The 25,188-nt window shown below is 49.8% G+C and overlaps 1 protein-coding gene across 1 annotated transcript in view; it reads left to right on the forward strand.

Moving 5' to 3' along the window:
- Nucleotides 1-322: 322 nt before the first annotated feature.
- BPIFB4 (BPI fold containing family B member 4) overlaps nt 323-25,188 on the forward strand; it is a 32,109-nt gene continuing 7,243 nt past the window's right edge. Inside the window, exons 1-15 of the mRNA NM_182519.3 lie at nt 323-383; nt 1,149-1,256; nt 2,192-2,312; nt 3,618-3,680; nt 4,047-4,554; nt 5,572-5,676; nt 6,701-6,844; nt 9,646-9,709; nt 10,178-10,238; nt 11,388-11,479; nt 13,138-13,338; nt 15,780-15,833; nt 18,297-18,467; nt 21,106-21,173; nt 23,652-23,694. Coding sequence (NP_872325.2) covers nt 2,207-2,312; nt 3,618-3,680; nt 4,047-4,554; nt 5,572-5,676; nt 6,701-6,844; nt 9,646-9,709; nt 10,178-10,238; nt 11,388-11,479; nt 13,138-13,338; nt 15,780-15,833; nt 18,297-18,467; nt 21,106-21,173; nt 23,652-23,694 — 1,680 coding nt within the window. The 5' untranslated portion in view covers nt 323-383; nt 1,149-1,256; nt 2,192-2,206. The remainder of the gene's footprint in view (nt 384-1,148; nt 1,257-2,191; nt 2,313-3,617; nt 3,681-4,046; nt 4,555-5,571; nt 5,677-6,700; nt 6,845-9,645; nt 9,710-10,177; nt 10,239-11,387; nt 11,480-13,137; nt 13,339-15,779; nt 15,834-18,296; nt 18,468-21,105; nt 21,174-23,651; nt 23,695-25,188) is intronic.

The raw sequence follows: 25,188 nt of genomic DNA on the forward strand, positions 1-25,188 counted from the left end.
TGGCTAGTGCCTGCCTTAGAGTTAGAAACTAGATGCATCTGGGGGTGATTCCAGTTCCCCAAGCTTGAGGCCTAGCTGGGGTCTCTGGGAATGTGCCCAGCCCAAGGGCTGATAAAACCCAGCTCATGTGACACCATCTGGGGCTGAGTGCAAGTCTTGGAATTAGCCACAAACCGCAAACCTTTATGGTTTTGGGGCTCAATGCCCAATTTGCAGAGCAAATCTGAATTCCGGTCTCTTGTAATTACACAGTGTTTCCCTCTCTGGGGTCTGGGCTCAGCCTCAGGCTGCTATATAAGACTGATCTGTGACCAGACTCAGCCAAAAGCAGAGGGGCTGGGGAACAGGACTTCTCAAGACTCAGCGGCAGGGACCTCCTAGGGGTAAGGAGGCGCACCTTGTCTACTCAGTGTCCGGCAGGGGAGGCACAGGCCTGGGAAGGTAATAAGGAGAGAGAGTCCCAGCCTGGAGATCCATCAGGATGGCCCCTCTCCAAGTTCAGGGGTCTTGTCTGTAGCATGGGCCTAGTCAGGAGAGCCTCTTGGGAATCAGCAAAAAGGCCTGGGTTATGCCAATTACATGCATGCGCAGAGCTGCACTCATCTTTCCCAGGGACGTTGGGTACCGAGGGCCTTTGCTACCTCCTGGAGACTCCTCAGCTGTTTGCTGATGCCAGAAATCTTCCATCGGTGCCCATCTTTTTAACTGAAAGGGGTGATTCCTTTTTGAACACAGCTCTCTGGAAAGTGAGGTTAGGATGAGGTGAGGAAGCCAGAAAAAAATTATTGCATATAGTAGTCCTTTATATTCTAGTGTAAATGAATGCCTCTAATATTCTTCTGGGAGCAGATAGGAGTAGGGAAAGAATTTGGGGGCGCTGTGAAGTCCAAGAGAAATGGGGACAGAAAAAAGAGGAGAGTGTGCCTAAACAAAGGTGGCTGAAACCAACAATTTCTTGGCTCAGATGAGAGGCCATGCCCTGTGCTGACTCTCTGAGGTTGGTGGATGTGTAGCCGGGGCTGATGGAGTGAGAGAAGTGGATGAGGGCACAAAAGGAGCAAAAGAAAGTTTCCCAGAGGCTATGCAGCTCGTTCCAAAATGCATGTTTCACCTCCCCAATCTCATAACATTCCTCACCCACTTCTTAGGGGTCTGAAATAACAGTCCCAAAGTAATAACAATAGCTGCTCTTTATTGAGTGTCTACTATGTATGAGATACAACTTGTTTGTGATTTGGGAGCAGAAGTTCAAAAAGGTAAAGTCCCTTTCCTAAGCATTAAGACCCAGATATCTCTGACCTAGAGCCATTAATATTAACCACGTGGTGTAGAACTGACTCCTCCAAAGAGATGGGAAGAGTGTTTGCTGGTGAGCTGGATGTGTGGAAGGGTGGCTAGATGAATGCATTGATGAGTAGATAAACTGATGGAAAGATGAATGGATGGATGGATGGATAGCTGGGTGGATGGATGGTTGGTTGGATAGATGGATGGGCAGGAGGATATATGGCTTGCCAGCTGTTTGGATGACAGATGGATGATAGATATATGGGAAGATGGATGGATGGTGGGATGGGTGGACAGATTAATAAATAGAGGGAGGAGAATGAGTTGATGAGTGGATGGATGGTTGGTTGGATGGATGGTTGGTTGGATGGATAGATATATGGCTTGCTGGGTGTTTCCATGACAGATGGGTAATAGATAGATGGAAAGATAGTAGGTTGAATGTATGGGTGAATAGGAGAATAAATACGAAGGGGAGAATGAGTAGATGAGTAGATGGGTGAGTGATGTAGAGGAATGAGTAGATGAGTAGATGGGTAGATGCTGGAGAGAGTTCCTTAGAACCTGCGAGCTCCCAGTTTGGTGTTTTTGTTGGAATCCCTATTACCCATCTCCCTGATGCTCAATTTGTCAATTCCATCTTGGGAGATAATTAGACATCCATTCTCTGAAACAGTGTGTTTAATGGGTCTGCTTTGTGTCACCAGATTCATTTCAATTTGAAAAACTCAAAAGGTAGTATCTGGAATTCTGGACCCTGCCTTAGTATGTGACCTTGGCTGGTTTCCCCTCTCTCTGGGTCCCAGGGTCCTGAGATGACTCTTGGCTGGGGCTGCCTAGTGCTACCTGCTGGCCAGGGTGGTGGCGCCCAGCCACATCTGCATCTGCACTTTCTCCTCCACAGGGAAGCAGTGCCAGCATGTGGATGGCCTGGTGTGTGGCTGCGCTGTCTGTGGTGGCTGTGTGTGGCACCAGCCACGAGACAAACACGGTCCTCAGGGTGACGAAAGATGTGTTGAGCAATGGTGAGTCCAGCCCCAAAGGGGTGAGGGTTGGCATGGGGTGAGCAGGGCAGCTCTGCCAACTCTGAAGTACCCAGGAACCTCCTCCTGCTAGCAGAGTTCACATCGGGAGGCTGGGTGAATTCTACTCTCTGGGCCTTAGTTTCTCCTTTTTCTTTTGACTACCATTTCCTGAGCACCTACTATGTGCCAAGCACCATACTGGTGACTTTATGCTCATTCTTTAGAGGCAATAGAGAACAATGATTAAGAGCCCTGGATCAGCCTTCGTGGGGTTCAAATCCTGACTGTGTGACCTTAAGTTCATGACTTGAGTTCCCTGAGCCTCAGTTTCTTTATCTGTAAAATGGGTGTAATTATAGTCTCTATCTCAGAGAACTGATATGAGAATGAAATGAAATGACCTTTTGAAAACTTAGCACAGCTCCTGGGACTTAGAAGGCCCTCAAAAGTGGGAGCTATAATTATTCTTGCCTCCAATTCTTAGGACCTTGCTTTTGTCATCTAGCATGTGAGGACATACTTTCTCCCTCAACACCCATCCCAGGCTATCATGAGCATAAAAAAATGAGATTATTTCCTATTTAAGTGATCTCTGAGTACCTCACAGGCCTCAATCTTTCTATCCATCAGACGGGTACACTTCTGGCCTTGACTATTTCCCAAGAATCAGTTGCGATAATACATAAGAAAGTTTATTTTATTTTATTTTATTTTATTTGAGACGGAGTTTCGCTCTTGTTGCCCAGGCTGGAGTGCAATGGTGCGATCTCGGCTTACTGCAACCTCCTCCTCCCCGTTTCAAGCGATTCTCCTGCCTCAGCCTCCTGAGTAGCTGGGATTACAGGTGCCCACCACCACACCTGGCTAATTTTTGTATTTTTAGTAGAGACGGGGTTTCACCATCTTGGCCAGGCTGGTCTCTAACTCCTGACCTCATAATCCACCCTCCTCAGCCTCTCAAAGTGCTGGGATTACAGGCATGAGCCACCACGCCCGTCCTGAAGTCAATTTTTTAAAGCTGTAAAGTGCAGAGCACTTAGAAGGGAGGGCGATGAAGAAAATCCATGAAGGGCTGGCTGATGTCCAAATCTAGTTAAAGTAAGACCAGACAAAACCCAGCAGAAAATGAGCTGGCCAGGATGCCAGGGCTAGATCAGCCTGGAGAAGTCATCCCGTTCAGCCTCTGCTCTTCGCTGGTGGGAAAAGTGAGGCCCAGGGAGCTGAGCAACACTGCGAGGTGCTGCCTGGGGGCTGGAGGTGGAAAAAAGGGAGGAACCCTGGACTGATGCCCTTGCCTCTCTGCAGCCATTTCAGGCATGCTGCAGCAAAGTGATGCTCTCCACTCGGCCCTGAGAGAGGTGCCCTTGGGTAAAGCCCGTGGTGATGGTGGTGGGCCTCTCCTGGGCGGTCTGCTTGGTGGAAGTGGAAGTGGAGGTGGTGGGGGAGGTGGTCTCCTGGGGGGCCTGCTTGGTGGTGGGGGTGGAGGGGGTGGCAGTGATCTGTTGGGTGGAGGCTTACTGGGTGGCAGTGGCAGCAGTGGTGGGGAGTTGCTGGGTGGAGGAGGTGGCAGTGGTGGGGGGTTGCTGGGTGGCAGTGGTGGGGGGCTGCTGGGTGGCAGTGGTGGGGGGTTGCTGGGTGGCAGTAGAGGGGGGCTGCTGGGTGGCAGTGGTGGTGGTCTTTTGGGTGGTGGCCGACACCATTACAATGACTACAGACGCATTGAATTCCCCCGAGGTGTTGGTGATATTCCCTACAATGACTTCCATGTCCGAGGACCCCCCCCAGTATATACCAACGGCAAAAAACTTGATGGTATTTACCAGTATGGTCACATTGAGACCAACGACAACACTGCTCAGCTGGGGGGCAAATACCGATATGGTGAGATCCTTGAGTCCGAGGGAAGCATCAGGGACCTCCGAAACAGTGGCTATCGCAGTGCCGAGAATGCATATGGAGGCCACAGGGGCCTCGGGCGATACAGGGCAGCACCTGTGGGCAGGCTTCACCGGCGAGAGCTGCAGCCTGGAGAAATCCCACCTGGAGTTGCCACTGGGGCGGTGGGCCCAGGTGGTTTGCTGGGCACTGGAGGCATGCTGGCAGCTGATGGCATCCTCGCAGGCCAAGGTGGCCTGCTCGGCGGAGGTGGTCTCCTTGGTGATGGAGGACTTCTTGGAGGAGGGGGTGTCCTGGGCGTGCTCGGCGAGGGTGGCATCCTCAGCACTGTGCAAGGCATCACGGGGTAAGGAGGGGACGGGTTCTCCCCAGAAAGCCCCCATACACCTCCAAATGGGGGTGATCACTCCCTGAAGCTGGGGTTGCCGGAGGGAAGGTCTTCAGAGCCCCACACACTTCAGGGTTTGGCCTCAGGATTGGAAGTTTTAAGACCCCCAAGTTACATGGTTTGGGTCTTGGCATGAAACAGTCCTAAGTTTGAGACCCAGTTCAGCTTTTCATGTTTGCGTGTGACTTTGGGCCATTGATATCATCTCTCGAGTCTCAGTTTCCTCATCTGTAGAATGGTCATAGTAATACAGTGTAGTGGAAAAGACCCCAAGGATTTAAAAACTATACATATATATCATAAGTTCTATGCTCAGCCTGTTCCTCATAGTCGATGTTTAATTTAACAAATATTTAAAGCTCCTGCTATGTGCAGAGTACTGTGTTGGCACTGGGGACATGACCCAATGGTAAGCCAAGAAAAGACACATTCTCTGTCTCCACGGAGCTTGCAGGTTGATAGGGTACATGGGCATTGATAAGAAGCCTAAACATAACCATGCAGTTTCAACAGTGGCAAGAAGTTCATGGAGAAGTAAGAATCTCTATAACGGGGCAGCTCACCTACCTAGGGAGGTCAAGGGAGGCTTCCTGGAGGAAGAGGACCTTAAGTTGAAATCTGAAGAATGTATAGGAGGGAATTAAGCAGGAGGAACCTATATGTATAGGAGGGAACCAGGCAAGAGGGGCAGGGATGAGCAGAGAGAGGGAATGGCATCTTGACATGCAGAAAAGATTCAAAGGAAATATACGGAATGCACACAGTGGGCCTCTGGGCATTGGGATTACAGGTCATGGCATTTTTGCCTTAATTTCTCTGTTTTCCACATTCTGTCCTTGAACTGCAGGTGTCTAGTGTCTTTAGAGTCAGAAGGAACAGACGGGGAGCAGAGAAAGGGGGTGTAGGGGAGGGCGCTCGGGTGAGTGGGTGGTAGTTGGGGTGGCCGGCCTTCTCACCACTCTGTGTCCCGAGCAGGCTGCGTATCGTGGAGCTGACCCTCCCTCGGGTGTCCGTGCGGCTCCTGCCCGGCGTGGGTGTCTACCTGAGCTTGTACACCCGTGTGGCCATCAACGGGAAGAGGTGCGTGCCCTTGGCCCTGGAGGGGTCCCCACCACCCTATGGCCCAACCTCTGTATCCATAACACAGAGGCTAGGAAGACCTAAACTTCTGCCAGTGCATGCCCACAGACTTGCACCAGAGGCCATCTGTCAGCGGTGAAAACAGCCTAGCACAGTGGTTAAGATCTGGGAGGCTGGGCTGGGAGTGGTGGCTCATGCCTGTCATCCCAGCACTTTGGGAAGCCGAGGCAGGCAGATCATCTGAGGTCAGGAGTTCGAGACCAGCCTGGCCAACATGGTGAAACCCCGTCTCTACTAAAAATACAAAAATGGGCTGGGCGTGGTGGCAGGTGCCTGTAGTCCCAGCTACTTGGGAGGCTGAGGCAGGAGAATCGCTTGAACCCAGGAGGCGGAGGTTGCAGTGAGCTGAGATCGTGCCACTGCACTCCAGCCTGGGCAACAAGAGCAAAACTCCATCTCAAAATAAATACATAAATAAATCTGGGAGGCTGGAGTCAGGTGACAGCTTGGGTTCAAATCCTGATTCTCTCATAAGCTGTGTGACCTTGGGCCAGTCCCCCAGTGTCACTAAATCTTAGTGTCTTCACTGGCAATGGGATAATGAGGTCACCCCCTTTTCCAGGTGACTGTGGCCGTAAGTGGGGAAAGGCAAGCAAAATGCTTCCTGGAATAGGGCCTTCCATGCACTAGGTGCTGACTAGAGGACCTCAGAGGGTGGGCTTCTGTGTGGACTTATCCCCGTGGGATGAGGTCGTGTCCACCAAGCTAGGCAATTGGGAGTCACCTTGGAAACCAGAATGTGTGCTGAGCCCTGTTCCCAGCCTTTGAAGCTCATGGGCTGAGGGGGAGATAGACTTGTTCACGTGTGACTTGAGGGACCAGGGAAGAGTTCTGGGTTGGGTTCCTTAGAGATGAGCAAGGAGCGTAGCAGATGGCAGGGACAGCAAGGACAGGCCTGGGTAAGGGTGAGCTCCTGGCGGCTGGGGGTGACTCATGGTCTCCCTGGCCCCTTGGCCTCCTCCAGTCTTATTGGCTTCCTGGACATCGCAGTAGAAGTGAACATCACAGCCAAGGTCCGGCTGACCATGGACCGCACGGGTTATCCTCGGCTGGTCATTGAGCGATGTGACACCCTCCTAGGGGGCATCAAAGTCAAGCTGCTGCGAGGGTGAGTGCTAGCCGGCAGTGGAGTGCCTTGGGGGTTGCTGGAATGGTCTGTCTTTGGCAAACAACATGACGTCACCCACCTGCCCATAGGCTCTGGGGTGGGCAGGACGATGATGCTGTGGGGTGGTGAGTACTCATGCTGAGCCAGCTGTACTCTCACCTCTGTCCCTGACCTGGCACATGCCTGATGGGAATTCATGGCCTGCACCTTCAAACCCAGGATGGGGCCTTCGACCAGCCTGGAAAATATGTCATTTGCGACACACATTCTTTCCAGCTTTGAAAAGGTTTTGATCTGAATGGTCAGGAGCATGCCTGAGACTCACATCTCAGTTCCATGGTTCATTGCTGTGTGATTTTGGGTAGCTCTCTTGCCCTCTCTGAGCTCCAGTTTCCTCCTCTGTGAAATGGGTAATTCTTTTTCCTTCAGGAATTGAGATAAGGAATGGAAAACACTTAGTGATCAGCTGGGATATCTTGAGAGCTGATGAACGTACGTCCAACAGGGGTTGTGTGCGTTGGTGCCCCAGATCACAGGGGCATTCCCCACTTGGTTCTGCCCAGTTCAAACCTGGTGAGGGGATGAGAGTTTTCCTATGACGTGCTCCTTACAAAATGTCCAAGTCTCCATCCTCTGGCGAAGTGGTGTCAAGTGTTCATATACTGGCCAGCACGCTGTCCCCAGGTGGTGCTCTTGGATGAGTACACACTCAGAGCGGAGTCTCTTTCTGTTCACTCCCTGCCCTCTTCTTTGGCTTCTCTCTTGGAGGCCTCTGTCCCCACTTCTTCCTCTCCATTATTATCCATCTTTTGGCCCAGTCCCCCCAGCCCTTGAAACTCATTGTGCAACTTGAACCCCAAACTTTCTGATTCCCGTGGGCTTCTTGGAGACTTTACTTCTGCTTCAGAGACGATGGAGGCAAAGAAAATCAGCTCCCAGGGTCCAGGCAAGGAGAGGAGGGTGAGGAAAACCATGGAAACCTCACAGATTTTTAAATTCACATTTTCACTAGGAAATAGATATTTGGTATTGCATGGTTCACAAACATAAAATAACAAAAAGGCACAGAGCACAGGGCCTCCTCCTATCCCACCTCCCTCTGCCTCCCTCCCACCAAGCTCACCAGTTATTCATCTCTCAATTCTCCTTCCAGTTTCTTTGTACACATGAAACAAATATGAACATAGATTCTCATCTTCCACCCTCCTTTTATGCAAAGGGGCACATACTATAAATACTGTTTTGCACTTTGCTTTTTTTCATTTACCCTATTGGGAGAATTTTCTGCATCCAAACATCGAGAGCTTCCTTGTTTAACTTTTTACAGCTACGTAATATTCCATTGCCTGGATGAGCCATCTCTTATTTCGCTGGTCCTCTATTGTTGGATATAATTTGCCTGATCTTGTGTCCTGACAAGTAAGGTCACAATGAATAACCTTTTACATATGTCATTTCACAGGAGGGTCGATGAACCTGTTGGATAATTTCCCAGAAGAGAAAAAGAGTTTATGCCCTGAATGTACATAAAGGAAAGTCCAACTATCCCCTCAACACACACACACACACACACACACACACACACACACAAGCATGCATGCATACACACACATATATATTCTCAAGGCCCTTATCATCTGAGGAGAGGTGGAACCAGGATAAGCCCGTCAAGGTGAATCCACTTAAAAGGGGGACCGAAATGCATAGTTAGCTTTGGGAGAAATGTTCTAATTAGGGCTTTATTTCAAGAAATTCTTTGCTTTGCTGAATTGGCGCAGCTCTGAACAGTCAGCCACAACCTCAGAAGCGGGAACCCAGGCAGGGTTCGGTGGCGAGGGACGGAGTGAAGTTCTCAAGAGGTCCGGCGGTCAGAGACATTTTGGTGTAGGATGATCATGTTTCCTTCGTCTTCTTATCACTGCAGGCCCCTGGAAACAAATTCTTAGACCAAAAATCTGTCTGCCCATCTATACATCTTGTTTATCGTCGATTTTCCTCCTTAACTAACAGCTTGGGAGGGTTAGTTAAGAGCTGGGTACAGTTATGTGCACCTGTAGTCCCAGATACTCAGGAGGCTGAGGCAGGAGGATTTCTTGAGCCCGGGAGTTCAAGGCTGCAGTGAGCGGAGATTTTACCACTACACTCCAGCCTGGGCAACAAACTGAGACTCTGTCTCAAAAAAAAAAAAAAAAGAAAAGAAAAAGAAAAAGAGCTGCATGGCTTACTTCTGTGGACCTCAGCCTCCTTGTCTGTAAAATGGATCACCTCTCCCAATTGTTTGAGCACCAACTATCCATCCTTTCTTGTGGATCACATGAGCACATTTTATTGGCCAGTATTTCTCCTTCCCTCCCTTCCACAAACATTTACTGAGTACCTACTATGTACTAGATCTTGAGTCAGATGCTTAGATAAATAAACACGTTCGTTTTCCCTTTGGAAACACAACATAAGGCTGCAGCAAATGACCCATTTGAGGGTCAGATCAGCAGATGGGAATGACTTTTGCAGTTGAAAATCAGCAACATTACAGCCTGGGCCTGACCCATTATAAAGCTCCAGACACTTTGTTTATTGAATGAATGAATGCATGAATTCATGAAAAGCCAAACAATTTGCCTGGGTGGCCTGTCTAGTCAGTCCAAGGTGAAGGTACTCTGTCCTCCCAGCTTTCGAACAGTTTTCCAGCACTCAGAGGTTCTCACTGTTCAGAGCCTGGACTAGTGACCCACAGGGTGGACAGCCTTGGTGAGCCCCACATGGCTGCGAGCCTTGACCTCATCCTGCTCCTGTCTCCTTAGGCTTCTCCCCAATCTCGTGGACAATTTAGTGAACCGAGTCCTGGCCGACGTCCTCCCTGACTTGGTAAGAAGCTGTCCCAGTATGGGAGCAAGGGGCACAGGCTTCCCCCAGACTGAGGGGCCATAGTCCAGCCTCCATCCCTGGGGGCCTGCAGGTAACCCAGAGGGACAGAGAGAGCCAAGGCCTGGGGCATGTATTTGGAGGGTCTGGGGAGGACCCTGAGGAACACGAAAGGACAGATTAGTGAAGGGCTAAGGAGAGGGACCTTGAGAATTGCACAGTTCCGGGTTTGAATCCCGGCTTGGGCACTTCCTAGCTGGGTGCCAAGTTGCATCATCTTTCTGAACCTCGATTTTCCCATCTGTAAGTGGGAATTAGAGACAGCCTTCCCCACAGGGCTGTGGTGAGGAGAGTGCCTGGCACAGAGCAAGCAGTCAGTAAATTTTAGCTATCGTTACTCTTGCGTCCCCGACTCCCTTGCTCCTACTCCCTGCAGCGTCAACAAGGCTTTGTGCCATTTCTCCCCTGCAGCTCTGCCCCATCGTGGATGTGGTGCTGGGTCTTGTCAATGACCAGCTGGGCCTCGTGGATTGTAAGTCCAATACACTTTCTCCAGCCTGGGGAAGGCACTGAGGACCGGGCCCTTTCTGGGAGGAGGGCTCAATGTGGTGGGGGCCACAGACCTGCCCTTAGGCCCTTGAAGTGAGGAGTGGCTAATGCCACAAGGGAGGTGCCACCTGGCTTTCCCTCTTGCTCCCAAACACCCCCCCCGAGTACCAGAGGGAGGAGCTTCCACCAGGGTCTGGGAGTCAGGGGTCTGGGAAGTGATGGCTCTGTCCTGGGAGTCAGGGGTCTGGGAGGTAATGGCTCGTCCTGGGAGCCAGGAAGCTGGGTTTGAGCCCCGGTTCTGCCCTGGCAGCTGTGTGGACTTGGAGAGACTCTTCCCAGTTTTCTCATCTCTCAAATCTCTCAATTCACAGAGGGGTTGGAGAGTGACTAGCAGGAGACACACTGTGGAGACTGACCACGGCCTCAGAACCAGGCTCTACCACCATCTCGGACCCTGATTTCTGAGTGAACATTCCTGAAAGCAAGCCCGCCCTGTATGGCTGTGCCATTTGTGCACTGCACCATTCCAGGGACCTCCTTTCACATGGATTACAGTGCAATGGCAGTGCCTCGAGTTGTGCAGTGCACAGCCTCCACAGCCACACAGGGCAGCCGTCTCTGATAGTGTTCCCATTTCTCTGGGACTCTAGGCAGTTTGAGAATGGCTTTCCAAGACAGGGAAATCTCCTTCCCTTTGTGGCCAGAGATGAGGAAGGAAGAGCCCAAAAGCTGGGGCTGTTCATTACACAGTCAAGGAAATGACAGATTCAACTAAGCACCACATTGTGGAACCCTAAATTCCTTCCCTGGTGCACAGCACTTCACAGTTTACAAAGCTCATCAACATCCAGGATATTGCACCCCCCTGCCCCCACCAACGTAGTCCCAGAGGTTACAGTAAACCCATTTTACAGAGGAGGCAACTGAGGTTCAAAGAAGTGCAATGACTTGCTTGGGTTCACACAGCAAGGAAGAGGCAGAGCTGGGATTCAAACCCAGAACTTTTGCTCTTTTCATGGTGTCTGGAGCTGGAGCCTGGGCCTACCTTGTCCATCCCCAGCCCCAGTGTATGAGGAGGGAAGGCATCTGGATGGTGAGGGGACCTCCCTGTGACCCTCTCCTTTGCCTGCAGCTCTGATTCCTCTGGGGATATTGGGAAGTGTCCAGTACACCTTCTCCAGCCTCCCGCTTGTGACCGGGGAATTCCTGGAGCTGGACCTCAACGTGAGTGCCTGGGGTTCAGGGCAAAGGGTGGTGGCCCTCCTCCCAAAGGCAGGAGTATCAGTGAGGCCCTCCCAGGGCTTCTGCTGAATGCCTGGGAAGTAACACTTGACAGGACCCTCTCGATTAGAAGAAGGCCTTCTAAGAGCTGTGTTAGAAAACATAATCATGGCCAGCATTCCAAATGCTTACTGTGTGCCAGGCACATTCTGTGTGCTTTGTGTCGATTAACTCAGCCTATCTTCACAGCAACCATATGAGGGAGGCACTTCTTATTGAGGAAACTGAGCCACAGAAAGGTTAAATCACTTGCCCAAGGTCACACAGCTAATAAATGTGGACCTGGGGTCTGAACCCAGGCAATCGAGCTACTAGGTGCTAAAAGAGCTGCTGCTGTGGGATTGGGTGTACTGGAGGAATAAATGTGGCCAGAGGTATGCTGGTAAGCATTTAACCATCATCTCTCCATGATTAAAAAAAAGTCCTGATTTGTAGCATTGGCCAATATCCATGGTATCAAAACTCCCATCATGGACAGCTTCAAGTTACCAACATGACGTCAGTGGATGCAGAGTTGGGAAGAGATGTGTGAAATCTGACCATGTGAGGTGGTATGAGCTGGCTCCTCCAGCACTGGCCTGCATCTGGCCCCTAATTTTGTATGGGGCACGCACACATATGTACTTTCCCTAGGCTTCATGAACACAGATGACTCCACACTTGCTCCAGCAGATACAGAGATGCAGGAGTGCATCCGTGCTCCCGTGTATACAGGCGCCCCTGCGCATGCATATATATTTCCAGCACCTGTGCATGCACACCTAATATATTCATAAACATACATCTGTTGAAGAGATATTCATTGGTCACCCGCTGTATGCCTGAGCTGAGGCTGAGTGAGGCTCTGGGCTGAGTGCTGGAAGTACAGTGATGAACAAGACAAAGTCTCTGCCCTGATGGAGATTAGAATGTTTTGGAGGGGACAGGCCATAAAGAATCACTCAAACAAATATGCAATTCTAAGTCATGAGCACGGTGATCAAGGATCCGAGGCTATCAGAGCCTAAAGCAGGGGGTGTATGATCCACCCAGGGAAGTCAAGGAGGGCTTCCTGGAGGAGGTAACACTTGAGCTGAGAGCTGCCAGATGAGTGGAACTTAACAAAAGAAGAATGTGGGGAAGGGAATATCCTGTGGGAAGGCTCCATGGTGGGGGTAGTGGTGTTGTGGGGAGACTGCAAAGGCCCTGGTGGCTGTGTAGCGGGAAGGTGAGAGACAGAGTGGCTTGGAGGCTGGAGAGGTCTCCTGGAGCAGATCACCTAGCACCTTGTAGACCGTGGAGAGGAGTCTGGTCTTTAGAGGGTAGATATGCATTGTACAGATGCATACATATGCTAGTTCATCACTGCAGGGCTGAGTTTGGAGAGGATCTGTCATACCATGGCTGTAATTGTAAGTGACCATGAAGCAGGAACTGCGAAAGGTTCCACTGCATCATAAACTGGAGGAGAGTGGGGACCATGCATCAAAGAGCCACTCAGACTCAGTGGGTTTAACCAAAAATGGCTGCCTGGAGGCAGATTCAGGGCCTCACTCCAGCCTTCAGTCCCCTTCTTTCCATCTTCTCCCTCCCTGTGACCCCTTTCTTCTCTTCTCCCCCAGACGCTGGTTGGGGAGGCTGGAGGAGGACTCATCGACTACCCATTGGGGTGGCCAGCTGTGTCTCCCAAGCCGATGCCAGAGCTGCCTCCCATGGGTGACAACACCAAGTCCCAGCTGGCCATGTCTGCCAACTTCCTGGGCTCAGTGCTGACTCTACTGCAGAAGCAGCATGCTCTAGACCTGGATATCACCAATGGCATGGTGAGTCACAGCCCCACCAGGGGGAGGTGGCTGGGCAGCAGACAGCTGCCAGTGACCCTTCTCAGTCTCCACAGACTTGGGGAATTTGCTGTGAAGTGAGAACTGCAGATGGTCCACCCCTTGACTCACCTCCAGCTCATGGGTGTGCGTCAATTACGTCAGTACTTGCCAAAGTGGTGCTTGGGAGGATTTCAGGTGGTCCACAGACCAAATCTCACGATGAGAAAGTTGCTCCCTATTCAATTTTATTTAACTTTATTTCAATTGTTTTTTAAAAGCATAACATATATTCACATATATGAACCTCAATATAAATGTTTAGAATGTTTTCATTTGGTAAACACTAATACATAAGTAACAAAATGACACATAACAAAATATCACCCTTAGGCATGCTCCAGTCATTTTCTTTCCAAACTTTTTCTTTTGAAAACTTTCAAGGCTTCAGAAAAGTTGCAAAATGCTACAACTGATGGACATATATCCTTCACTTAGATCCACTAGTTAAAATTTTGCCACAGTTGCTTCATATCTACCTATGCGTCCATTCACCCTCCTACCCACCCACTCCTCCACCCATCAACCCACCTATCCACCCACCCATTCATCCACCCATACATCCATCTATTTATTTATCCATCCACCCATCCACCCACCCTCCCATTCATTTGTATATCCATCTATTTATCCACCAGTCCTTCCATCTATCTATCCAGCCATCCAGCCATCCATCCACCCACCCACCCATCCACCAATCAAACCATCCACCCATTCATCCACCAATTCATCCATCTATCCATCCATCTGTTTATCTATCCATCCACCTATCCACCCACTCACCCACCCATCCACCGTCAACTCATTCATCCATCCACTCATCAACCCACCCATCCTTCCATCAACCCATCCATCTATCCAGCCATCCACCTATCCACTCACCCACCCACCCATCCACCATCAACCCATCCATCCATCTACTCATCAACCCGACCATCCATCCATCAACCCATCCATCTATCCATCCATCCACCTATCCACTCACTCACCCACCCATTTACCCATCAACCCACTCATCCATATCCACTAATCCATCCACCTATCCATCTATCCATTTATCTATCCATCCACCCACCCATCCACCCATCTATCCACCCATTTATGCATTCCTTCACAATTCATCCATCCATCCATCCATCCATCCATCCACCAATCCATCCATCCATTTATATATCCATCCACCCACTCACCCATTATCAATCTATCTGTCTGATCTGTCTGTCTGTCTCTCTGTCTGTCTCCCTGTCTGTCTATCCATCTATCTTATCTGTTTTTGAGCAATTTGAGCTTTCGCAGACATCATGACAATTCATTCCATAAACTTCACTGTATATCTCCTAAGAACAAGACATTCTGCACAAAACCATCATACAAATGATGCCAACACTTGCTTCCATTAAGAGAAAAGTCTCCACTTGGTGTCCGTATATAGTTAGCCCTCTCTTGCACTTGTCGTTGTCCCCTTTTAAACTAAGAGAGAACAGAGCTCATGCCCAAAGCTCTCCACAGACAATGATATCCATGCAGAAGGTAATGGCATTATTTTGTTTTTATTGTATTTGGTTTTACAGTTGCCATCTCTTTGTGTCAAGTGGTACTGGCTTTCCATTTTGAGTATTTGAGGTCTTAAGAAGCAAGCCAATTTAAAAATGCTAAGTAAATAATAGTACAGGTGGTTCAAGGATATGACAGAGGTCATGAATTTAGTGGACACTGAGTTATGCAAATGGACTTGATGCTGGTCTCCTTGTTTTAATAAGGAATGACATTTGTTTCTTTTCTTTTTCTTTCTTTCTTTTTTTTTTTTTTGAGACAGAATCTTGCTCTGTCACCCAGGCTGTAGTGCAGTGTTGTGATGTTGGCTCACTGCAACCTCCATCTCCTGGGTTCAAGCAATTCTCCTGCCTCAGCCTCCCAAGTAGCTGGGATTACAGGCATGTGCCATCATGCCCGGCTAATTTTTGTATTTTTAGTAGAGGCGGGATTTTCACCATGTTGGCCAGGCTGGTCTCAAACTCCTGATCTGAAGTGATCCACCTGCCTCGGCCTCCCAAAGTGCTGGGATTACAGGCATGAGCCACCGTTCTCGCCCAAGAATAACATTTTTAGAGGAGAAATATTCAGGTTTTGCCTGCTGTTCTTTGAAACACTCCTTGGTCAGCTTAAGTCAGCCCAGGTCACTTAACCACAAACTGGCTACGGTGATCTGCGTATGGTGATGATGGCTGGGTAGGCAGGACTTCCCCAGGGGTCTTTCAGGGAGAGAAGACGAAGACGCCCTGCTGGGTGTTGTAAAGCATGTAGGAGTTTAATCACTGTATTAGCAACTCCTGTCTGTACCGATAGCCTCCAGGATTCACGTGGCCCTTCTTCTTGTCCTATAGTTTGAAGAGCTTCCTCCACTTACCACAGCCACACTGGGAGCCCTGATCCCCAAGGTATGTAAGGTGGGCAGGTCCCATTGCCTTCAGCCTCATTCTCTATCTTGTTTGAGAAACTGGATTGGAAGGGAAGATGCTCAGCGCTGGGGTGGGGTGCTCTCCCCCGAACCCCTGCTTGGGAGTGCAGTGACAGTGACAAGGGCTTGCAGGCTAGACCCCCATGGGTGGGGGCGGGGGAAGACACAGAGGGTTGAGGTGGAAAGACCCTGAATTCTATAGGTGGTCCAGCCTGCATAGGCCTAATCCTAGCCTGGCCACTTCCCTTGCTGTGTGACTTTGGAGAAGAGTCTTAACATCTCTGAGCCTTAGCTTCCTCATCTGTCAAAAAAGGCTGCTGATACCTATTCCATAGGTTATCATAGGAAGGTAAATGAGATGATGCATGTAAAGGTGTCAACGCGGGCCAGGCACACTCGGGTGCACAGCTGCTTAGAGGGAAAAGCCAGGCCTTTGGAACAGACAGACATGAGTCAGCACATCCCAGTCATATGACCTTAGATGCACAATTCCTCTCTCTGAGCCTCAGTTTTCTCATCTGGAAAACGGGGTAACCATGCTCACTTCAGAGGGTGGCTGTGGACCTGGAGTCTGCACCAAGGCAAGGAGCAGGCATTTGATCAACATGAACTATTATTGCTGTTGTTAATAATTACACATTACTTCTTTTTTTAAAAAAAAGCAAGTGTGCTTTTGTCCAATTAGTGACCATATAGAGTTGGAACAAAGGCCTTTCCCACCCCAGTTCTGGTCCCATGTCTGGTTCTGGGCCTATTACCTTGCACCTGGAAGCAAAGGGCTCTGTACCTAGTAAGTGTTATGCAGGTGTGAATGATGGCTGCAATCTATAGCCATTTTAGACATTTTTCACCTCTTTTCTGCCTGCCCTGTTTAGTCCTGGGTGGAATTCAAAGGCTCTAGGGGGAGAACAAACTCAACACGTGGTCACTATTGCCCTCATGTGGCTGCAAATTGAACATCGGAAGGATCATTCTCTAGGGTGGTAACAGTGGCAGCTCCAGCCAGCAGGTGGACCCCTCAATCAACTGGACCTTTTATTTACTGGGTCACTTCCTATGTGCACTGCACTTTACAGCTTATGAAATTGTTTTTTAGAGTATACTTTTTCTTTCTTTTTTTGAGACAGAGTCTTGCTGCGTTGCCTAGGCTGGAGTGCAGTGGCACAATCTCAGCTCACTGCAAACTCTGCCTCCCTGGTTCAAGCAATTCCCCTGACTCAGCCTCCTGAGTAGCTGGGACTACAGGCATGCACCACCATGCCTGGCTAATTTTATATTTTGAGTAGAGACAGTATTTCGCCATGTTGACCAGGCTGGTCTCGAACTCCTGACCTCAAGTGATCTGCCCACCTCGGCCTCCCAAAGTGCTGGGAGTACAGGCATGAGCCACAGTGCCCAGTCAGAATATACTTTTTCAATTGGTTCTGATCATTCCCTCTATCCACAGGACCAAAGAGGAGAAGCACACCATTTACAGATGGGGAAACAGAGGCTCAGAGAGGTCACATGATGAGGCAGTAGCAGAGCTGGGGTAGAATAGGGACTGAGTCCTCAGTGGCGCTGGGACTGCAGCAGGGGGGATTCAGGCTGGACCCAGCAATGTGTCCTGGAGACCTGGGCTGCACGGAGTCACCAGGGGAGGGGACTTCTTTCTGTTTCTTTTGAAAGTAATATTGTGGTTTTGCCCATTTCTCTATGGTCAGTTAACATATTTAAGAAGTATATTCCTTAAAGTATGTATTTTTGGTAAGTCAATCATTTGATAAATATGGCAAACTGCCATTTTATGAATTGTCCCTTTAGTAAATTAGCTTTCAGGGAATCAAACTGCAGCAAACAAGCTCAAGTCCCTCCAGCAATCCGGGCTCGGGGGCAGCCTGTGCCTTGCCTGGGACCTCCCTGTGGGATTCCCCAGGCGTGGACTTCTCATTTCAGGAACAGTGTTCAGAGGCATTGGGAGGCTCTGGGCTCTGAGCCCACAGACATGCACTGGAATCTTAACTTTCCTCCTGGCCTTGGACAATTTCCTTGGCATTCCCCTCTGAGGCCCTGTTTTCTCATCTGTAATGTGGAGAAAAAAAAATACCCCATGGGTTGTTGTAATGACTGAATGAAATTAAGACTGTCCATTCAGCACCTGGCCAGCATCTCTGGGAGACCCCATTTCACTCAGTACCAAGTTTTAAGCATTTCCAGGTGTCAGGCATTGAGCCTGAATTTTGCCGGCATGATCACAGTTATTTCTCATAGTAACCCCATGTGCAAGGCTTGGAGAGGGCAGCTCCTTGCCCAGTTCTCACAGTGGGTCATTGGCTTTGCCTGTGGTTTGTTGGACTCAAGCAACATGAGACCCCGGTGCTCTGTGTTTAGAGGTTGGCTGATAACCCCCTGGGTACCTCCTATGCTAAGGGCCCTGTCCATCTGGCCTGGTGCCTGCCCACAGGTGTTCCAGCAGTACCCCGAGTCCTGCCCACTTATCATCAGGATCCAGGTGCTGAACCCACCATCTGTGATGCTGCAGAAGGACAAAGCGCTGGTGAAGGTGTTGGCCACTGCCGAGGTCATGGTCTCCCAGCCCAAAGACCTGGAGACTACCATCTGCCTCATTGACGTGGTGAGTGTCTGGAGGTACTGGTGGCCTCCAGCTGGGCCTCAAGACAGAGCCACATGGTCTCCTGGAGCCCAAAGACCCCTTCAAATCCCCTCAATCTCCACCATCATGACTATGGGCCCAACTTTGGGGCCAGAGGCTCTAACCCAAATCTAGCCTTTACCACTTCCAGCTACATGACTTTGGACAAGTCACTCCCTATCTCTAGACTAGAATCTTAACTCTCTTGCTGGCCTTGCACAATTTGCTTGGCATTTCCTTCTGAGCCCCAGTTTTCTCATCTGTAACATGGAGAAAAAATACCACATGGGGTTGTCGTGATGACTGAATGAAATTAAGACTGATTTTCTCCTCTGCCACAGGGGGATGGCAGTAGGGCATTAGTAAGATGCTCAGAGCAGTGCCTGACATACCCTAAAGGCTGCCAAAGTGTTAGCTGATATTATTCTCACAGGTTGCCTATACCCAGTGTGTGGCCAAGCCAGTCTTGATCATTCATTCAGCAATATTTATTGAGCACCTACTATGTGTTATGCTTTCTACTTGACACTGGGGAAAGGGGAAACGAGACAGATGGTGCCTGCTCTCTTGTACCTGGTACCTAGCAGGGGACAGATACAAATACAACAATTTTCACAATTATTTCATAGAAAGGAATCCTCTTAAAATGTGAACCATGGCCAGGCATGGTGGCTCACACTTGAGAACCCAGCTCTTTGAGAGGCTGAGGTGGGTGGATCACTTGAGGCCAGGATTTCGAGACCAGCCTTGTCAACATGGTGAAACTCTGCCTCTACTAAAAATACAAAAATCAGCTGGATGTGGTGGCACACACCTGTAGTCCCAGCTACTCGGGAGGCTGAGGCACGAGAATCGCTTGAACCTGGGAGGCGGAGGCTGCAGTGAGCCGAGATCGCACCACTGCACTCCAGCCCGGGTGACAGAGCAAGACTCCATCTCAAAAAAAAAAAAAAAAAAATGAACCATGTTTCTCCTCTGCATTCCTTCAATTCTGAAATAAAAGCCCATCTCCTGACAATGGCCCACAAAGTCCTCATGACCATCCCCTCATCACCTCTGAGCTCCTCAGTGTTCCTCCAACATGTCAGGCACTGTCTGACCTCAGGGCCTTTGCAGATGCTGTTCCCTCTGCCTGGGATGCTCTTCCCCCAGGTATCTGCACAGTTACTCCCTTACTTCCTTTTTTTTTTTTTTTCTTTGAGATGGAGTCTCACTCTGTGGTGAGACCCTAGGCTACGGTCTAGCTTAGGGCCCAGCACACAGTAGATGCTCAGTAAACATTGGTCACAGGAATGTGTTAAGCTGTGTTAAATGCCATTTCTCCCTCCATGATTAAGGCTTCAGGCTTTGGAACTCAGACACTTGGGACTCTGGTCCCATCTGCTGTCTTCCTGCTAGTCCCTCCTACTCCCAAAGCTTGAGACCAAATAAGCCACTTCTAGTTGGGAATTAGGTGCTCTAGGCTGGAGCATGCCAAGCCACAGAGTGTGGGGGTTCTTGTGTGGGCCTTATAAGATGGTCGATTAAAGGGTCGATTCTAGCCCACGAGTGGGAATGGCTGTCCCAATCTGTCCTCCATCAATCAGCCTCTACTGTGTGGAGATTTTCCATCAGCAGCTCAGAGGTTTGTGTGAGCCAGCCCAGCACCCTGCAGTGACTCCTGCTGTCCCAGGGATGCAGCCCTGACTCCTCCCCAGCGCACAGCTCTGCCTGGCTTGGTCCCTTTTCACTGCAGCCTCACGAACCCTTTTACCTCCTTGCTCTCTGGCCTCCTCTCTACCTCTCTAATGCCAACCTCTTCCCTGCCTCCTGGCCTTTGCCCATGCCCTCCCCACTGCCTGGATTACTCTCCCACCCTCTTTTCATCTGGCCAAGTCCTACATACCCTTCAGTCCTCAGTCCAAACACCATTTCCCACACCAGCTTACACCCCTGGCACGTGCACCCAGAGCCCCCAGTTCTTCATCAGGCCAGTCATCGTGGTCATTGTTATCTACTAACATCACCTGAATTTCTCAGGAGCTTACTGTTTTTTCATAAAGCCAACTTTTAAATTCAATTTATTTTGGGTGGGAGGCAGGGAAGGAAAAAGGGATTTTCCTACAAAAAGGCCTCTACTTGGAGAGAGAGAGAGAGATGAGCCTGGGCCTTTTATATCCTCTCCTGGGGATGGGACAGTTATGATTGGCAGCGGTGATGCCCAATCTCGTCATCTAAAGTGAGTTTCATAGGCTACGAGCCACTCCCCACCCACTCCGAGGCATTGCAGAGACACCTGGTAAACACCCTCTATAAATCATGGGGATCCTGTGACTGTTGCCTTACTGAGAAGTGTTCACTCAGCCCTTACTGTGACTCACTTGCAAACGATAGTTAATGTTGGCAACTTATTATTCCGAACTCCTTCCCTCCAGAGGTGGTGCAAATCCAGTACATGGTGAGTGTTAACCAGGAGTCTCATGCTTATAAAAGGAGGTCTGACCCAGGCCTCGGGGAACAACCTGCCATCATGCTCAGGGTTAACGAAGCCCTAGCTAGCACTGGGCACACAATGAGCCTTTGGCAAGCACTGGCCAAGACATGAAGGCAGTGACGTCTTTCTCCTTTCCTTTCCCTCCAGGACACAGAATTCTTGGCCTCATTTTCCACAGAAGGAGATAAGCTCATGATTGATGCCAAGCTGGAGAAGTAAGGGGCTATGCTGCCTTGGGGTCCTGACGGTGCTGGTGCTGCTCATGGAGGAGCCACCAGGGAGCGGGTAGAGGTCTCCTGTGTGGCCATCAGGGCTGGGTAAACCCAAGGGGCTGCAAAGGTGACGATGGCTCATGCCTACCATTACCACTGTCACAAGCCAGGCAAGGTGGGTGAAGCCGTGAACTTAGAAAGAAACTACTGCCAAAATCAACAGTCAGTAATAATGATGCTGGGGTGTGGGCACAGTAGCCCATGCCTGTAGTCTCAGTGCTTTGGGAGGCCGAGGCTGGAGGACTGATTGAGGCCAGGAGTTTGAGACCAGACTGAGAAACATAGCAAGACACCATCTCTACAAAAATAGAAAAATTAGCTGGGCATAGGTACACACGTGTAGTCCTAGAAAAAATTAGCCGGGCTTGGTATCCATGTGCCTGTAATCCCAGCTACTCAGGAGGCTGAGGCAGGAGCCCAGGAGCTTGAGGTTGTGGTGAGCTATGATTGTGCCACTGCACTCCAGCCTGGGCAACAGAGCAAGACCCTGTCTCTAAGTAACAGTGATGATGATGAGGAGGAGGACGAGGAGGAGGAGGAGGATGCTGGTGATGATGACATACCAGGCTCTGCTCTATGTACTTGAAGTGTACGTATTATCTTGTTTCTCCCCTCTGATGGTCCCAGTGGAAGTCAGGGCTATTATTCTCCCTTTGTAGGGAGAAAACTAGGGCTGGAAACAGTGGATTTACTTACCCAGGGCCACCCAGCAAGTACATAGAGGGGCTGTGAGCCAACCCAGGTTCATGTGACCTGCTGCATTGGATGGGTACAATCATGCGCTTTGGAGCCAAGCAATATGGGTTCAAATCCTGATGTGACCACTGACTGACTGTGTGATATTGGCCAACCAACTTCACTCTGAGCCTCAGTTTTCTCATCTGAAAATGGGGATAATAGTCACTACCTCGTAAGATTCATAAAAAGAATAATTATTATTCATTGGATGCTTTCCGTGTGCCAGGTATTTGGCTAAGTCCTAGGTGTGTCTTCATTTAATTCTTTCTTTTTCTTTTCTTTTGAGCCAGGAGCTCGCTCTGTTGCCCAGGCTAGAGTACAGTCACGGCTCACTGCAGCCTTGACCTCCCCAGCTCAAGCGATCCTCCTACCTCAGCCTCCCAAGTAGCTGAGATTACAGGCATGCACCACCACGCCAGACTAATTTTTATATTTCTAGTAGAGACGGGGTTTCGCCATGTTGGCCAGCCTGGTCTTGAACTCCTGGGCTCAAGTGATCTGCCTGCCTCGGCCTCCCAAAGTTCTGGGATTATGGGCATGAGCCACTGCACCCGGCCTTCCTTTAATTCTTGATATAAGCCTATGGAAATAAGTACTATCATTATTTCCATTTCAAGATTAAATGAGGTCATATGTAAAATTTTTAGCATGTGACTAGATCATTGTAAGCTTTTCTTTTACAACCAATATTTCTTAAGCCCACCAATGGCAGTTACTCGTGATTAATATAGTGCACATCAGAGACATCCAGGAGTTCCCAAGGAGGCAAGATTCAGCCTGCAGCCTGGATAAGGAGTAGGGGCCAGCTGGGCAAGAGCTGGGTATTTCCTGCAGGGAGAGCAGCATGGGCAAGCTTCGCAGAGAGGAAAAGGGCACGGATACTGTGGGGTGCGGTGCCTGAGAGGGAGAGAGGCTGGGTAAGGAAGTCAGGAAGGAAGAAAACATGTCCCAAGCGGAGAGTCTTGTTTCCTTAGAAGGTACCTTTATTTCCCTCCTGCTGGACACCGAGCTGATGCTTCTGAACAGCCCCGAACGATTTCCGCCCCACGGGCAAGCCCGGTCTGGCCTCTCTCGGGTAGGACTGTCAGCTGTATTGAGATTCAGGTGCAGCAAGACGGAGGCCCTTATAGAGCAGAGCGAGACCTCAAACCCCGGCCTCAGCCTCCCATCTCAGAACAGCACAACAGTGAGAGTGCAGGTTCAGGGTGCGAGGCCTAGGCTATCCCTCCCTGGCTCTGTGGCTGCAGTAAATTACCCTGGAGCCTGCTCCACTGGAGGGCTGGAAGGATTACACGAGGTGATGGTGATCACTCATGCACCTATGGCAGGGCTCTGGAGCAGCGCTTTATGGGAATATCCCCTTTAGTCCTAGCAGCCACCCACTTTGCAGATGAAGAAACTGAGGCATAGAAAGGTAAAGTACCTTGACTAAGGTCACAAAGCTAGTAGGTGGCAAAGCTATGATTTGAGCCTTCTCCGTGTGGTGCATGAAGCCCTTAGCATGGTGTCCGACGTGTAGTTAGCGCTCAGCATGTGAGAGCCAGCATTGTTCTTATTAAATCCCTGCAGGTGGAGAGTGATCGTGAGGATAGTGGAGGGGCTTCTCACAATTTGTTGCAATGCAAGAGCCTTATGATTTTCAGGCAATCCCTGCTTCTCACAGGCTGTTTTCTTCGTCTACAGGACCAGCCTCAACCTCAGAACCTCAAACGTGGGCAACTTTGATGTAAGTACCATGTTTAGTTCCCAGGGCAAGATCTTCTGGGAAGGAGCCCAGGACGTGTCTTCCGGGAATGGTGTTCCTGTGAGGCTGGCTGGGCATGGGGAGTTTGTGAATTCCAAAGTGCTCCCGTCAACACTATCAGCCCTCATTTTGCAGATGGACAGATGTAGAAACTGAGGCCCACAAGGCAAGTGAGGGGCAGAGGACAGACTCACAGCTCCTTCTACTCTGCCTCGGGTGCTGTCCCATGTTAACTGGCTGCCCCATGGGGGGCCACTTGGCCCAAATCGCTCCATTTCAGGGTGGGGAGGCACAGTGGGCAGCCTTGTCCTACAGGACCACTTTCCTTCTGGAGTTAGGAGCCCACTGACTCCTGTGTGACCTTGAGCGATATCAACCCACTCTGAGCCTCAGTTTCCCCATCTGTAAAATGAATACAATTTGAGTTCATTTCTAACCTCCCTTCTTGCCCCTGGGTTGTGGAATTCTGCTTTTCCAAGGGTCCAGAAATCTGAGATGCTCACATTCTAGCGTTGGGTCCTGTTTTATCTCTTTGTTCACTCTTGGGTGCCCCACCCCCACCTAAGGCTTCAGAAACACTCCTTCCTCCCCACCCCCCCACCTCCGCTTTTTATAAATTGACAACTAAGCATCTGCTAGCTTTCTGGGACAAGCTTGGATGAGATCTCCACATGTGCAGAAAAAGTCAAACCCATTCATTGTGTTGCTAATTTTATAGCTTTTCTAACCCAAAAAGCTACAGCCTGTGAAGCCGATCTTGCCAGCTTCATTTTATAAGGATAAACTGCCCAAGGCTTCCCAGCTGGTTGGGGCAGAGTTGGGATTAGAACTGAAATCTCTGGACTCCAAGTGAAGAAAGGGGCTGACAGTGTAAAATTAATGAATTAATGAAGCTATCGAGATGGGCCCTAGGCACTGAATTATGCTTTTTTTTCTCTTTTAATGAGGTTTTCTCATTTAATCCTTACCACCGTGTTATGATTTGGGTATTATTATTACACCCATTCTTCCAAATAAGGAAGGTAAGCTCAAGTGACTTGCCCAAGGCAACAGAGCTAGGAAGAGGCACTGCCGGAAAGTGAGTCCATGCCCTCACCCTCTGCAGACTGGAACATCAGGCATGTTACATATAGGGGCTTATGTCTGATTTTTATAACCACCCTATGAGGCAAGGGTTACTCACTCCTGTTTTCAGATGTGGAAACCAAGGCTTAGAGAAGTTAAGGGAGGTAACATATGAAAAGGCTCAAGGCCAGGAGTTTTACGTGATCTACCCACCATCCTCACCGCATCCTTGCAAACTCAGCTCACTGACCCATTTTACAGCTGAGGAAGCTGAGGGTTAGAGAGGTGAAGGAGCCTGCCCAGAGGCCCACGGAGACTGAGCTGGGATGGGAACCTGGGGTGTTGGCTCCAGGGCCATTGGGACTTCTGTGATGCCATGACAGTGCCATCGGGGCCAGGCCACCCTGAAAC

This window comes from Homo sapiens, chromosome 20 (assembly GCF_000001405.40).
Source record: "Homo sapiens chromosome 20, GRCh38.p14 Primary Assembly".
In the NCBI taxonomy this organism is placed as follows: Eukaryota; Metazoa; Chordata; class Mammalia; order Primates; family Hominidae; genus Homo; species Homo sapiens.